The 15,683-nt window shown below is 38.6% G+C and overlaps 2 protein-coding genes across 3 annotated transcripts in view; both read left to right on the top strand.

Annotated features, from left to right (window-relative positions):
• LRRC37A2 (leucine rich repeat containing 37 member A2) overlaps positions 1-15,683 on the top strand; it is a 676,337-nt gene that overhangs the window by 316,629 nt on the left and 344,025 nt on the right. The window lies entirely within an intron of this gene.
• Positions 1-15,683, top strand: part of NSF (N-ethylmaleimide sensitive factor, vesicle fusing ATPase) — a 166,796-nt gene that overhangs the window by 98,752 nt on the left and 52,361 nt on the right. For both annotated transcript variants that reach the window (NR_040116.2, NM_006178.4), the window contains 4 exons: positions 3,483-3,648; positions 4,427-4,501; positions 5,055-5,242; positions 15,339-15,434. Coding sequence is in view for 1 of the 2 variants with exons in the window: in NM_006178.4 (NP_006169.2) it covers positions 3,483-3,648; positions 4,427-4,501; positions 5,055-5,242; positions 15,339-15,434 (525 nt within the window). In the remaining variant the exon portion in view is untranslated. The remainder of the gene's footprint in view (positions 1-3,482; positions 3,649-4,426; positions 4,502-5,054; positions 5,243-15,338; positions 15,435-15,683) is intronic.

Consider the following 15,683-nt stretch of genomic DNA (forward strand, 5'->3'; position numbering starts at 1 on the left):
TATAATAATGGCCCTAATGTATAAATCATTTTTTAATCAATAGGAAAAGCTCTTGAATTTCAACAGAAAAGGGTATAGAAGACATATCAAATACTAATAAAATTACCAATGGTAAAAACATGATTTTTTAACAGCACCAGCCCCTTCAGTAATTAGATAAATGTGATTTAAAAACAACAGAAAGATACTATTGTCCATCTATCAAATTGAGAATTACTTTTAAAGTGTTTCTAATATTCATTACTTGTGGGAATATACCAAGATAGGCACTATCAGGTACTGTGCTGGGATTATAGATTGATAAAACCTTTCTGGAAAAGTGTTTCTACTTTTTCAAGTGTTCCTATTTCAAGGGCCTTAAAATACTTAACACACCTTTTAACCTAACAATTTGCCTTTAGCAAGTATTCATCTATATTGTCAAGCGTTTAAGTATAAAAGTGTTCATTGTAGGCTGGGTACAGTGGCTCACATTTGTAATCGCAGCACTTTGGGAGGTTGAGGCAGGAGGATCACTTGAGTCCTGGAGTTCAAGACCAGCCTGAGCAACATGGCAAAACCCCATCTCTACAAAAAAAAATAAAATATTTTCCAGGCGTGGTAGCACGCATCTGTAGTCCCAGCCACTCGGGAGGCTGAGGTGGGGGATTGCTTGAGCCCAGGAGTTTGAGGCTGCAGTGAGCTTTGATCGCACCACTGCACTCCAGCCTGGGCAACAGAGTGAGATCCTGTCTCTACAAAGAATGAAAAAAGAAAATGTTTATTGCAGCAACATATATAATACTAAAAACTTAGAAATAATTAAATATCTAACAGTAAGGAATGAATATGGAGTAGGAGAGTTAAACTGTGAAACCATTCATATGATTAAATATTATAGAGCTATTAAAAATCATATCATCGGCCAGGCGCGGTGGCTCACTCCTGTAATCCCAGCACTTTGGGAGGGCAAGGCAGGCGGATCACAAGGTCAGGAGATCGAGACCATCCTGGCTAACACGGTGAAACCCATCTCTACTAAAAAAAAAATACAAAAAAAAAATTAGCCGGGCATGGTGGTGGGCGCCTGTAGTCCCAGCTACTCGGGAGTCTGAGGCAGGAGAATGGCGTGAACCCGGGAGGCGGAGCTTGCAGTGAGCCAAGATCACGCCACTGCACTCCAGCCTGGGCAACAGAGTGAGACTCCGTCTCAAAAAAAAAAAAAATATATATATATATATATTGTATAGGGATGGGAAAGGGTTTAAAATAATACCTGTACTGAAAAACAGGATGCAAGGTATTACATAGCTCCATTTTGGCTGAGTTTGAGATGATTGTGATTTCTTTATTTTTTGCTATTTTCCCACATTTTTTATAATTATATATTTTGCAATTGGAAGCAAAAATAACCATTGAAAATCGTTTTCAAAGAATAATATTCAAGAGAATACAAGGTGCAGTAAGTTCTTAATATTTAGTTAAAATATAGAAATCTGTGGACCATTAACAGCACTTATCTTTAGGTAATGTAATGATGTTTTATAGATGGGTCTTTATTGATGGGATGTCACTATGTTGCCCAGGCTGGTCTTGAACTCCTGGCCTGAAGCAGTCTTCCCACCTCTGCTTTCCAAGTAGCTGGGATTACAGGCACAAGCCATGGCAAATGTAGTATATTTTAATTTATGTTTTTAGTGATGGAATCTCACTGTGTTGCCCAGGCTGGACTCCAGCTCCTGGGCTCAAGGATTCCTCCAGCCTCAGCCTCCAGAGTAGCTGGGACTATAGGCACGTACCACTCTGCCCAGCTTTATTTTTACACTTTATTTGTTTTACAACTTTTGCTCTGTTAACAAATCTACTACTCCTTTAAAAAGTTAAAAAACATTCTCTTATTAAAACAAAGATTAGGCTGGGCATGGTGGCTCACGCCTGTAATCCCAGCACTTTGGGAGGCTGCGCTGAGTGAATCACCTGAGGTCAGGAGTTCGAGACCAGCCTGGCAAACATGGTGAAACCCCGTCTCTACTAAAAATACAAAAATTAGCCAGGAGTGGTAGCACATGCCTACAATCCCAGCTACTCAGGAAGCTGAGACAGGAGAATCACTTGAACCCGGGAGGCAGAGGTTGCAGTGAGCTAAGATTGCGTCATTGCACTCCAGCCTGGGCAGCAGAGCAAGACTTCATCTCAAACAAACAAACAAACAAAACAACGATTATATCCTTATCGGAGATTTAATGGATACTAACCATATTTAATCCTCAGTCTCATTATGCTCATTTAATTTTTATTATCCGTATGTTGTCATATTTAGGTTATGTTCATTTTTTACCAGTTTTGTTAATCCCTAGTATTTTTTGTTTTTGAGACGGAGTCTCACTCTGTCGCCCAGGCTGGAGTGCAGTGGTGCAGTCTCGGCTCACTGCAACCTCTGCCTCCTGGGTTCAGGTGATTTTCCTGCCTCAGCCTCCAGAGTAGCTGGGATTACAGGCACCTGCCACCACACCCAGCTAATTTTTGTATTTTTAGTAGAGATAGGGTTTCACCATGTTGGCCAGGCTGGTCTCGAACTCCTGACCTAAGTTGATCCATCCTCCTCTGCCTCCCAAAGTGCTGGGATTACAGGCAGGAGCCACCGCACCCGGCCGTGTTTTTTGTTTATAAAAGAAAAAATTTCCAGAGTGCACTTTACTCCCTGATAGGAGACTAAATTACTTAAATATAAATTTTAGAAGGTACGTGTTAAATTAACCTAATGAATTAGTAGCATTCAGAAGTGTTTGTATCTGTTAAAGATTCAAAATATACAAACTAATTTCTTTTAATGGTGATTCTATTTCTAGTAAACTAAGGCAGAAATCATTATGCAGAAGAAACAGCACCCTGTTAACCATGTTCTTTTTATAAACCGTCTCTGTTCTCACTTTATTGTTAGGAAGGCGTAATCTGTTTTCATGTAATATAAGTACATGTGAGTCATGTTGAGTTTCTTCACTCATTTGTCCAATTCCCAGTCAACCTGTAGGTGGAGTTAACCTTTAGTTACATAATATAACGAAACAAACATTAAACCTACTGCTTCTGGGACAGTCTTCTCACCAAAACTCAGGGAAAATGGGAGGGTGTTGCCACTGACTGACTTAATGAAAGTATCTGACAAATGTAAGGTCTTTCAAATAGTGAGATAAGAAATGTATATAAATTATTTGATCGACTACTTACTTTCTATCTATACACACACACTATCAGTATATAATGTGTATTTTCATTTTATAGCTATTAAATATGAGGTTCTAGAATGAGTTTTCAGTTTGCAGAATTCTGAGAATCTAGTTCCAACACCTTTGAGAGGACAACAACCACAATTGCACTTGCCATATTTATTAGTCAAAATGAAGTGAAGTCAATCTGTTGAAAGCTTTGTTTTGTTTTTCTGATTAGTTTGTTTAATAAGACATTCAAATTATGATCTTTAATATAATTTCTTCCCCTAATAGCTTGGTGCTAACAGTGGTTTGCACATCATCATCTTTGATGAAATTGATGCCATCTGCAAGCAGAGAGGGAGCATGGCTGGTAGCACGGGAGTTCATGACACTGTTGTCAACCAGTTGCTGTCCAAAATTGATGGCGTGGAGCAGCTAAACAACATCCTAGTCATTGGTATGTTTACTTTTTAAAAAAGTACTATTCATTCAAAAACGTTAGCCATAAGTTCTGAATTAAGATGTGTGTAGGTTGTGATTAAACTGTTTTGCCAGTGTTTCCAAATTAGAATCCAGTGATATTGAAGAATCTATTGTAATGCCTAGGCTTAATAGGAAAAATAAAAGATGGATTTCAGTCACTTGTAGGTTTAAGCTTATAGCTCACCCACAGGTGAAAAAGATGTAGGTTGAAGCTTATAGCTCACCCAAAAATGAAAAATACACATGAAACAATGGAATGCAGTGGTTTTCAAACTGGGTCTTGCAGGCCTTCGGGGGTCCTCAGAGGTGCTTTCAGGGTCAGTGAGGGCCAGGGAGTGCGTTTCAGATCCTACATCACTATTATAACTTCCTCTTTTAGCTGTTTTATGTACTGAGGTGCTTCTGAAGATGACTTCTGGGGGAAAAAAAAAAAAAACACCCTGCTGTTTTATGAAGTCTGAAAACCACTGGCCTGTAAAAAAGAGAAGGAACTTTGGAGTCAGAGAGATCGTGTCACATTGCCCCTCTGTCACTTTGACAGATTATTTACCCTTTGAATCTTAAATTTTCTTTTTAAATACTGGAAGTTTTCATAACATTTATATTCCATTGGCTTATACAGTAGTGAAATAGTAAAGCAAAGTCTCCTTAGCTTGTTAGGGAAATTACTATTCTTACATATACTAAAAGGACATTTGATTTTATTTTTGAACTCTGATCATTTGTTGTTTTGTTTTAACATCTGTGTTCAGGAATGACCAATAGACCAGATCTGATAGATGAGGCTCTTCTTAGACCTGGAAGACTGGAAGTTAAAATGGAGATAGGTAAGGAGATCTGTCACTGATTGGGTGTGTGGTGGGGGGAGTGGAGGCATTTAGAGTTCATTAACAGGAACAATGTCATATGGTGTAGTATTTTTTAGAAAAGGTTTATATCATGAGAAGTAGATGTTTACATGCTTGAGTACCTATAAGGAAAACATTAGGATCATAATAATCTCCTCTAGGCTGGGCGCAGTGGCTCACACCTGTAATCCCAGCACTTTGGGAGGCTGAGGCAGGTGGATCACTTGAGGCCAGTTGTTCGAGACCAGCCTGGCCAAGATGGTGAAACCCCTTCTCTACTAAAAATACAAAAAACTTAGCCGAGTGTGGTGGTGTGCACCTGTAATTCCAGCTACTCGGAAGGCTGAGATAGGAGAATCGCCTGAATCCAGGAGGCAGAGGTTGCAGTGAGCTGAGATCGTACCACTGCACTCCAGCCTGGGAAACAGAGCGAGACTCTGTCTCAAAATAATAGTAATAATAATAATGATAATCTCCTCTGATGGTGCTTTCGAGACTAGGAAAATGCCTATTTTATTTTTAATTTCATCAGGCTTGCCAGATGAGAAAGGCCGACTACAGATTCTTCACATCCACACAGCAAGAATGAGAGGGCATCAGTTACTCTCTGCTGATGTAGACATTAAAGAACTGGCCGTGGAGACCAAGAATTTCAGTGGTGCTGAATTGGAGGGTCTGGTGCGAGCAGCCCAGTCCACTGCTATGAATAGACACATAAAGGTCAGGAAAATCAGCTAAACAGATTATAAACATTATGCCAGTATTCTTTCTCTTTCCTTTCAAGCATATCAAGGGGTAGGGAAATGCTGACTTTTGGTGGAGAAGAGATGGTAAAAGGAATAAGAATTAATTGTCAACTGCTAAATCTTCAGAGTAGCAGGAAGGAAGATAATGTTTGCATCTGCCCTGTAGTAACCACTGACTCATCTACCTTAGGTCATCACCATCTGACACAGACACGTAAAGTGAAAATTTTGAAGAAGTGTTTTTAAATCTTTGTATTGTATTAAAAGTTGTAATATGGCCAGGCATGGTGGCTCATGCCTGTAATCCCAGCACTTTGGGAGGCTGAGGCGGGCGGATCACAAGGTCAGGAGATCGAGACCATCCTGGCTAACACGGTGAAACCCCGTCTCCACTAAAAATACAAAAAATTAGCCGGGCATGGTGGCGGGCACCTGTAGTCCCGGCTACTCGGGAGGCTGAGGCAAGAGAATGGTGTGAACCCAGGAGGCAGAGCTTGAAGTGAGCTGAGATTGCGCCACTGCACTCCAGCCTGGGTGACAGAGCGAGATTCCGTCTCCAAAAAAAAAAAAAAAGTTGTAATATGTCAGAGGAAGTGGGAGTTTCCACGTACTAGAATTTTGGGGGCTGCTTTATTCAGCAAATATATTGAATAGTTGATGTGTTCAAGCTATTGGGCTGGAGACATAAAGATAATTGTGAACTCTTCCCTCAAGGAGTTCAGAGTCAGGAAAATGGACATATTTTCAAATTAGTACAATAATATTGTAGTTACCATGGTAGAAATACGTACTAGGATACTTTTATTTTGATAAAGTGCTCTTGATCTTCCATCTCTTCTCTCCTTTAGGTTTTAGTTACCACCTGTAGACAGATTTACTGAACATATCTGTCTCCTACTTTCAGATTTGTACTAAATACCCTCACCTAGATGTTTTATCAGGTCTCAGATTTAATATTGCAAAACCAAATTTATTGTCTTTTTTACTACTTTCCTTTCTGCTCGCATTTCCCTGTTTATCCCAATTTCCCAGGCTTAAAACATCAGGATTATCTTTGATTCCTGGCACTCTACTGTGCCCTAGGTCAAGTCACTTGCCAAATTTTTTCAGTTCTGTCTTGGCAGTGCCTTTTAGTTCTCACTGCCACTACCCACCTTCTCTTTGATTAACCTTCCTGTATCATATCATTCAACCATTCAGACACTTTCAGTGATTCCCCATCATTTACAAAACAAAGTACAGGCTTCTTTTGGGTCTTTTGGGTCCTCTAGATCTGACCCTAACTGGCCTTTCCAAATGTGCTCCTGATTATTCTCCACATACTTCAGCCAAACTTAAATAATCACCGGTCATCAGACATTAATTTATTTTTCAACATCTCTGCTTTGGTTTTGTTTTTTTTGCATCACTGAGGATCTTCATCCTCTACGTTTACCTGTCTTTTCAAAACCTGGCTCATATGCTACCACTGTCCTCACACCTTTTCACATTTTCCCTTTCAAGAATGTTATACCCGTTTCCTTCTTGAAATAGTAATGTATCATTTATGGTACTGTCAGTTGACTTTGGTTCACAGTAGATTTATTCGGCATCTACTGCATGCTAGACCCTGTGCTAGGAGTTAATACCCCGACTGCAAAGAAGTAAAGTACCTACCATTAAGCTGCCCTCAGTCTAACCCTCCACGTGCAGTAACAGAAAGTACATGCAAGGCAAGAGAGTGAACTCATGTCAGATATGGTCAACTTGTGGGGTGAGAGAAACCTTCATATGCATGTCTGTTGGTAGAGCAGGGCCTTTTAGGTAGAGGGAACAACATATGCAAAGAAGCAGAGACACAGAATAGCATAGTGCGTTGGAGTAGTTTAGTATTGCTTCAGCATGGAAGTTAGGGGAGGGATGGTAGAGAGATTGTGGGGGATAAGTCAGGAGACTAAAGTAGGGATGGAGCACAAAGAGCCTTTTATACTCTGCTAAGAAGTATGGACTTTTTTTCTGTGAGTAGTGCTAAGCCATTGAGTTTTAAGAATAGCAGTGACATAGTGTTAAAACATAAGATCACTCTGGCAGCTCTGTCGAGTGGAGTAGTTAGAGGAGTGGAGTTGGCGACACAGGACAAGAGGGGGAGCTTTTATAACAGTTCAGGCAAGAAATAAAAGCCTGAACAGTTAGGTTGAGTATGTAGATATTTGGGTATATCCTATCACTGGTTCTAGACCAGGAATCCAGCCAACTACCAGTTTTTATAAATAAAGGGCTTTTTTGGAACAGTACACATTAATTTGTGTACTGTCTATGGCTGCCTGCATGCTACAGTGGCAGAGTTGAGTATTTGCAATAGGGGCTGCATGGCCCACAAAGCCTATTTTAGTGCTTTTATTTTAGGTACTATCTGCCACTTTACAGAAGTTTGCTGGCCCTTGTTCTAGACTTTAAATCCTTATCTTATTCACCTCAGAGTCTCCCATAGTACCCCAGATAGATCTAAATAATGAGCACATGGTAGGTGTCCAGTAAATTATTTTTCTTTTTTTTTTTTTGAAACAGAGTCTTACTCTGTCGCCCAGGCTGGAGTGCAGTGGCACAGTCTTCGCTCACTGCAACCTCTGCCTCCTGGGTTCAAGTGATTCTCCTGCCTCAGCCTCCCAAGTAGCTGGGACTACAGGCATGTGCCACCACGCCCAGCTAATTTTTTGTATCTTTAGTAGAGATGGGTTTTCACCATGTTGGCCAGGCTGGTCTCAAACCCCTGACCTCGTGATCCGCCCGCCTCAGCCTCCCAAAATGTTGGGATTACAGGTGTGAGCCACCATGCCCAGCCAATATTTTTTAAATGAGTAAACTTACGTAACTATTCTGAATCACGCTCTATCCATAAGTCATAATTTCCCTACATAATAGAGGTGGATTTGTTCTAGCTCAAGAATGCCAAAGGTTTGGATGGTGTGGGAATATTGTATTGGGTCTTTATATAATGGATCCATTCAGGGACTATGTTTTTATTCTTCCTTGTTTGTTTGTTTTGAGACGGAGTCTCACTCTGTCGCCCAGGCTGGAGTGCAGTGGTGCAATCTCGGCTCACTGCAAGCTCCACCTTCCAGGTTCAGCCATTCTCCTGCCTCAGCCTCCCAAGTAGCTGGGACTACAGGCACCCACCATCACGCCTGGCTAAGTTTTTGTATTTTTAGTTGAGATGGGATCACCGTGTTAGCCAGGATGGTCTCGATCTCCTGACCTCGTGATCCGCCTGCCTCGGCCTCCCAAAGTTTTGGGATTACAGGCGTGAGCCACCATGCCCGGCCATGCTATACTGTTTTAATAAGAAGAGATGGCAACTTCAAGAAAAATGATGTAAACAGTGTGAAAACTGGTCCCTACCATACTGATCTTTCATCTCAGACCACATGGGTGCATCTTGATGTAATCCACAGTAACTAGTTTACTAGTTGTCATATTTTTCATATGTGTTGGCCATGGAATTTTTCTCTTATTTAGTCATCTGTCATTTTAACTACAATAATCCTATCCCAAAATTTCACTTTAAGCCGTTGTCTCAGTAAGAAACATGCTTTCTTCAAGCATATATTGGGTTTATCTACATATGAGGCAATGAGGGATGGTGGGAAGATCGCAGATATCGTAGTCAGAAGGTGTGGTTATGCATTATATTTCTTCCACCTTTTTGTTTCTGACCTGTCAAGGGGAGACACTACCTATCTAATCAGATTTTTATGAGAATGAAAGCAAATACTTTATATAAAAGTGCCTTGTAAACTCTATAAATGCTAGTTATCTCCATTTTTTTAATTGGCTGATTTGAGAGGATATCAGTACTTTTCAATATATGAATTTCTGATTTTTATTGACTCTTTGTAGTTACACATTTTCTAATTGTAAAGCTAAAATGTTTGTCACCCTTGTACATAATATATTATCCTTCTGATTTGCAAGTAAGCAGTAGTGCAAATAGTTCATGTTTCCATCACTTTTTTCCACATGATAGAATTATCTGTAAGCTTCAGGTGATATGTATTGACTTGCGATCATTGCTCCTTGTACCAAACAGCTCCTAACTTTTCACCATATCAATGGAATAACTATGTAGGCACTTTAGGGATGAGAAAGCTATGTAAGACACTAACCTTACCCCCAAAAAGAAATATTACTAACATTTCATCTTCTGCATTTTAAAAAATCTGCATTGTCAGAAGGTCTTTAAAGACTATTTTTCCAATGACTCGTCCTTGGCTAAACAAAAGAAGTACAGTTTTAGTCTTCCATTGCTATAGATGTTTGTAGCTTTAATAGTGATTGATGAATAAATATTTAAATTGAAACTTATAAAGTTGTTACTGAACTTTAAAACATTCAAAACGTACAAGTGTTATGATGTTCTTTCTTTGTATTTTAAAAATCCATTATTGGTGTTATTTTGCTTCCTTTTCAAAAGATTGAGGCCTAAAGAAAGATTTAGTCAGGTGGACTAAACAGGTCTTTCCTGTTAAACTGTTTTTTCAGGTTTTCTGAGACAAGTGGAAAATCTGGTCAGAAACACCTGTTGTTCATGTCATTTATACTTGAACCTATGATTGCGGTCAACTAAAATTCATGTGACATTTGGTTGTTTTTATCTTGAAAGGAATTTCTGCTTCAGGTTGAGAAGATTCATAACCCAAATTTTTTCTCTAATCTGTTGTGAGGAAATAAACTGAGGACACACACACACACACACACACACACTTTCTCTCACATACACTTTCCACCTGAGTCAAAGCTCTAAGTTATGTTTACAGAATTTCATAAAATTATTTCTTATTTTTTTGCAGAATTTTTGATTGATTAAGGTCATTCTACCCTTAATTTAAGAGGAATGATAAGAACTTTGAAAGGTCAGATTTAAAAGGTTATGAAATTTAAGGGTGACCACTTGATATTTGCTAGTGTTGAAATACAAGTTTATTAGTTTCTGCAGGTATAAGCTGAAAGATGCTGCCTCTTCTATATTGATTAGCTGTTATAAATAAAATGCAGGAAAAATGTTGCTAATTCAAACAAATGAGAAAAGGTTTTCTGAAAAAGTAAAAATTCAGAATTATAGACTTTTTAAAATTTTACAAATTTTGATAAAATGCTAAAAGTCAGCTAAGAGCAGTCCTTAGAAAATTTATTTTAATGAGCAGGTAGGAATAATTGACAATTGGAATATTGATGGCTTACAATTATGTAACTTACAGAATTCCTTATGTGCCTGAAAACAGTTTGTTTTGAAATACTTCTTCCCCACACCCATCTTAATTCACTTTTAAGAAAGGACTCAGCAATTAATTGGGTGAGTCTTTTCTTAATAATTAGCAAAATGACAAGTTTTATACCAGCTTCAGTCCTAAAATCTATCGTATTTTTTGGCAAATTTTGAAAGATGGGCAAGATTTTTCTTTCATACTGCTGTATGTATCTATCATTTGAATTCGGTTTTACTGTAAGAGAATCAGAATGCAAAATATTATGGTAAAAACCTAGGCCTGTGTAGGAAAGAGGTGTTTAAAGTGAGGCTGGTAGCTTTGTTGAGATTTTAATGTTTCGGTCAGAGCTCTTGTCTTCCCTTTGGCCTGAGAGTTTGTATCTTGTAGAATCCTTTCAGATGTATCAAAAAGTTTGAATCAGAGTTAAAACTTTTATATAAGGGTATCTAGGAAGGAAGTCCTGTATCTGCCTTTTATAACTTATGGAAACCCCCAGGTTTGTATAAGTATAAAATGAGATAATGTGATATGGTGAAATGAGATAGTGTGTATGAACATACTTTATAAACTATAAAGAACTGTAGACATTTGTATATTATTAATTATCATAATTCTTTCACGGATATGCTTGTTTCCTGTGACACCATTTTTCTTTTTTTCTTTTTTTTTTTTTTGGAGATGGAGTTTTCTTCTTGTTGCCTAGGCTAGAGTGCAATGGCGTGATCTCGGCTCACCACAACCTCCGCCTCTCGAGTTCAAGCGATTCCCCTGCCTCAGCCTCCAGAGTAGCTGGGATTACAGGTGTCCACCACCATGCCTGGCTAATTTTGTATTTTTAGTAGAGACAGGGTTTCGCCATGTAGGTCAGGCTGGTCTCGAACTCCCGACCTCAGGTGATCCGCCTGCCTCGGCCTCCCAAAGTGCTGGGATTATAGGTGTGAGCCACCGTGCCAGGCCCATTTTTCTTTTTTTAAACTTAGAAATGCCAAATAAATGCGATTAATATTTATCAAACCTCATATGTGCCAATATAAGCCCTATTAATAATTTAAATGTTTATGTTTTTTTGTTTGTTTGTTTTTGTTTTTGAGACGGAGTCTCACTCTGTCGCCCAGGCTGGAGTGCAGTGGCGCCATCACAACTCACTGCAAGCTCTGCCTCCCGGGTTCACGCCATTCTCCTGCCTCAGCCTCCTGAGTACCTGGGGCTACAGGTGTCTGCCACCACGCCTGGCTACTTTTTTGTATTTTTAGTAAAGACAGGGTTTCACTGTGTTAGCCAGTATGGTCTCGATCTCCTGACCTGGTGATCCTATTGCCTCAGCCTCCCAAAGTGCTGGGATTACAGGCGTGAGCCACCATGCCCAGCCCAATAATTTAAATGTTAATTGTTCTATTGAAGTAAAATATTTGTCTCTTTGTTACTTTTTACTTTATTTTTAAAAGTATAGAAGTTATAGATGATGGCTTTCTTTTTGTAAAAGATTCAAGAATGTCAAAGCATATAGGGAAAAATGAGAAAGGCCATCTCTAACACCACTTTCCTTTCCCTCTCCAGAGTTAGCCAAAATTTGGGATATATCTTTGAAGTTTGTTTTCTTTATATAATATTTACATTCATATACGTATGTGCTTTTTTAAAAAAATGAACATTAATGGAATTATACTGCAGTTTACATTTTTCACTTGCAAATATTCCTTGGATAGCTTTCTGTGTCAGTGTATGTAAGTCCCCTTCATTATTTTGGACAAATGCAGAGTATTCTAGAATATTGCCACATAATGGAAAATATAAGATCCATGAACACAGGGACCTTTTCTGTTTTATTTACTGCTATGACTCCAGTTCCTCAGATAGTGCTTGGTGTCTGGTAGGTATTCAGTAAATAGAATTAATGAATAATTTATTTAACATATGGATTATTTCTGGTTGTGGCTGTTGAAAAAATACTGTTGTGAAAATGCTTACTTGCCTCCCTGTGCACACAAGGAATCATTTTCTAGGGTAGCCATCCAAATGTCTTTTCAAAGACATGGTTTCATTGTCTTCTAGTTTCTAGTGTTGCCAGTGAGAGTTATCATACCAATCTCGTTCTGGTTTCTTTGCAGGAAACCTGTTTTGTCCCTCAGAAAGGTTCTAGGACTTTCTCTTCACCTTTGGTGCTCTGAAAGTTTACAGCAGTGGGTCTGGACAGATGTGTGCTTCTTTTCATTTATCCCGATCATCACTCACTGAACCCTTTAAACTGCAGAGGCACACCTTTCTTCAGCTATAGGAAATTTTTTTCTCTTCTGTCTTTTATTGTTTCTTCTCTATGACTCTTTCTGTTCTCTCCTTCTGAGACTCCTGTTAGATCACAGTTAAAACTTATGGATATTTCTTTCATGCTTTGTAGCCTTTCTGTCTCACTTTCTGTCATTTTGTGGGATTTGGGGCGGAAGGGAAGATAAATAACTGTGTTCTGTTTGCCATCTTCACCCAGCTTCCTGCCATAGTTCTTTTTATCCCACAAGGATGACTTTTTTTTATATCTGTCACTTCATTTGTCTCACAGTCTCTTCCTAAAAAAAATATGACTCATATTTCATAATAATTGATGGAAGGTTGATATTTATTTAACATGCGTTTGTTTTATAGTCAGCTTTTTTTGAAAATGCTTTTTTTTTCAAAGCCATGATACCAATTTAAAAATTAGGCTGTGTTGTTTTGTGCTATTGGTAGTGAGCCCAGTCGCTTTAAAACACGTGTTGGTATCTTAATCACTCATCTGGTCCAGGCAGCTCCAAGTGCTGATAAAGGCCTTGATGCTTCTCCAGATGTCTAAATGCTAGCTCCAGGTGCAGTAAGCAGACTATTTGGAGCTGGCACATAGATTCTGAAGCACAATGTATTAATACAAATGAAAGTTTTAGGTTCTTGGTCTCCTAGAGTAATGGTTCTTAAGCCTGGTTCAGTACCAGAATCACCTGTGGTACTTGGTAAAACTATAAAGACCCTCTAATAGGCCTGTTAAATCAAAATCCCGTGGGGAATGGGACTGAGCGCCTGTATATCTCTGAAGGCTCTGGAGGTTATTCTGATATGCAGCCAAGTATGGCTGTGTTTTCATTTCTGTATATATTTTCTTTTTGTATGGATTTTTCACTGTTCTTACTCTCTGTATGTATTTTTTCTTACTCATGCCTCATGAGTTAAAATGGCTATACAGTGTCCCTTGGTACAGATGTGTTCTAATTTACATAACTGATCCCCTCTTGGTAGACATTATTAATATGCTTCCCATCTTTTTTCATAACAAGTTACTTTAGTAGATATACTTGTACATATAACTTTGTACACATTTGTGAATATATTTAGGGGATAAATTACTAGAAGTGGACTTGTTCAGAGGATATATATATTTGTGAATTTGAGAGATGTGTTTTCTTTGATTCCAATTTTTAAAATTGTTTTAAAATGCCCATAAAATTGTCCGGGCGTGGTGGCTCACGCCTGTAATCCCAGCACTTTGAGAGGCCGAGGCGGGTGGTCACAAGGTCAGGAGATCAAGACCATCCTAGCTAATATGGTGAAACCCTGTCTCTAGTAAAAATACAAAAAATTAGCCGGGCGTGGTGGTGGGCACCTGTAGTCCCAGCTACTCGGGAGGCTGAGGCAGGAGAATGGCATGAACCTGGGAGGTGGAGCTTGCAGCGTCCGAGATCGCGCCACTGCACTCCAGCCTGGGGGACAGAGTGAGACTCCGTCTCAAAAAAAAAAAAAAAAAAAAAAAACAAAAAACAGAAAACCATAAAATTTACCGTGTAACCATTTTAAATGTACAATTCAGTGGCATTAAATACATTCTTAATGTTGTGCAACCATCACTACCATTCATCTCCAGACCTCTTTTCATCTTGTAAAACTAAAACTCCATACCCATAAACAGTAACTCCCCATTCCTTCCTCTCCCTATCCCCTGGCAGCCACCATTTTACTTTCTGTCTCTTGGATATCAGCTACTCCAGGAACCTCATATAAGTGGATTGTACAGTATTTGCTTATTTAACTTAGCATATGGTCCTCAAGGTTCGTCATGTTGCAGGATATCAGAATTTTCTTTCTTTTTAATGCTGAATAATATTCCATTGTATGTACGTAACACATTTTGTTTATCCATTCCTCTGTCAATGGTCATATGGATTTCTTCCACATTTTAGCTATTGTGGGTAATGCTGTCATGAACAAGGCTGTACAGATATCTCTTCAAGACCCTGTTTTCAGTTCTTTGGGGGTATATACCCAGAAGTGGAATTGCTGGATCATATGATAATTCTATTTTTAATTTTATGAGGAACCACCATATTTTTGTTTTCCACAGTGACTCAACCATTTTACTTATGTTCCCACCAACAGTGCATAAGGGTTCTGATTTCTCCGCATCCTCACCAACACTTCTTATTTTCTGCATTTTTGTGGTAGTAGCCATCCTAATGAGTATGAAGTGAAATCTCTTTGTAGTTTGGATTTGCATTTCCCTAATGATTAGTGAGGTTGAACATCTTTTCATGTGCTTATTTAAGGCCATTTGTATATCTTCTTTGGAGAAATGTTTGTTTAAGTTCTTTGCCCATTTTTTATTTAGTTTTTTGTTGTTCAATTTTGGCAGTTCTCTATGTATTCTGGATATTAATCCCTTATCACATATATGGTTTGCAAATATTTCAGATTTTTTTATGTGTGAAAATATGCTTTTAAATCCTCAAGAGTTACGTTCTTAAACTGAATATATTCTTAACTATTCTTAAATCTTGGAAGTCCTTACATTTTGTTTTTATCTCTTCTTAGGCCAGTACTAAAGTGGAAGTGGACATGGAGAAAGCAGAAAGCCTGCAAGTGACGAGAGGAGACTTCCTTGCTTCTTTGGAGAATGATATCAAACCAGTGAGTATGCCCATTGAGTGATATATAGGCCAAAAAGTAATGATAATAATAACTCAGGCGAAAAGTAAGTGCCATTTACTCAGTATTATGGAAGGTTATAGCATATGCAGTTTCATAAAATGAGAAAATTTTAGTATTGGAAATGTTCAGTATGAGAAACATCTGTACAATAATCCTAGTGGCTGGTGATATTATTTACTGAAATATTTTCATGATAGGAAGCTTACCATCTTGTAAGGCAGGCCATTC

The sequence above is a fragment of the Homo sapiens genome, chromosome 17 (assembly GCF_000001405.40).
Source record: "Homo sapiens chromosome 17, GRCh38.p14 Primary Assembly".
Classification (NCBI taxonomy): domain Eukaryota; kingdom Metazoa; phylum Chordata; class Mammalia; order Primates; family Hominidae; genus Homo; species Homo sapiens.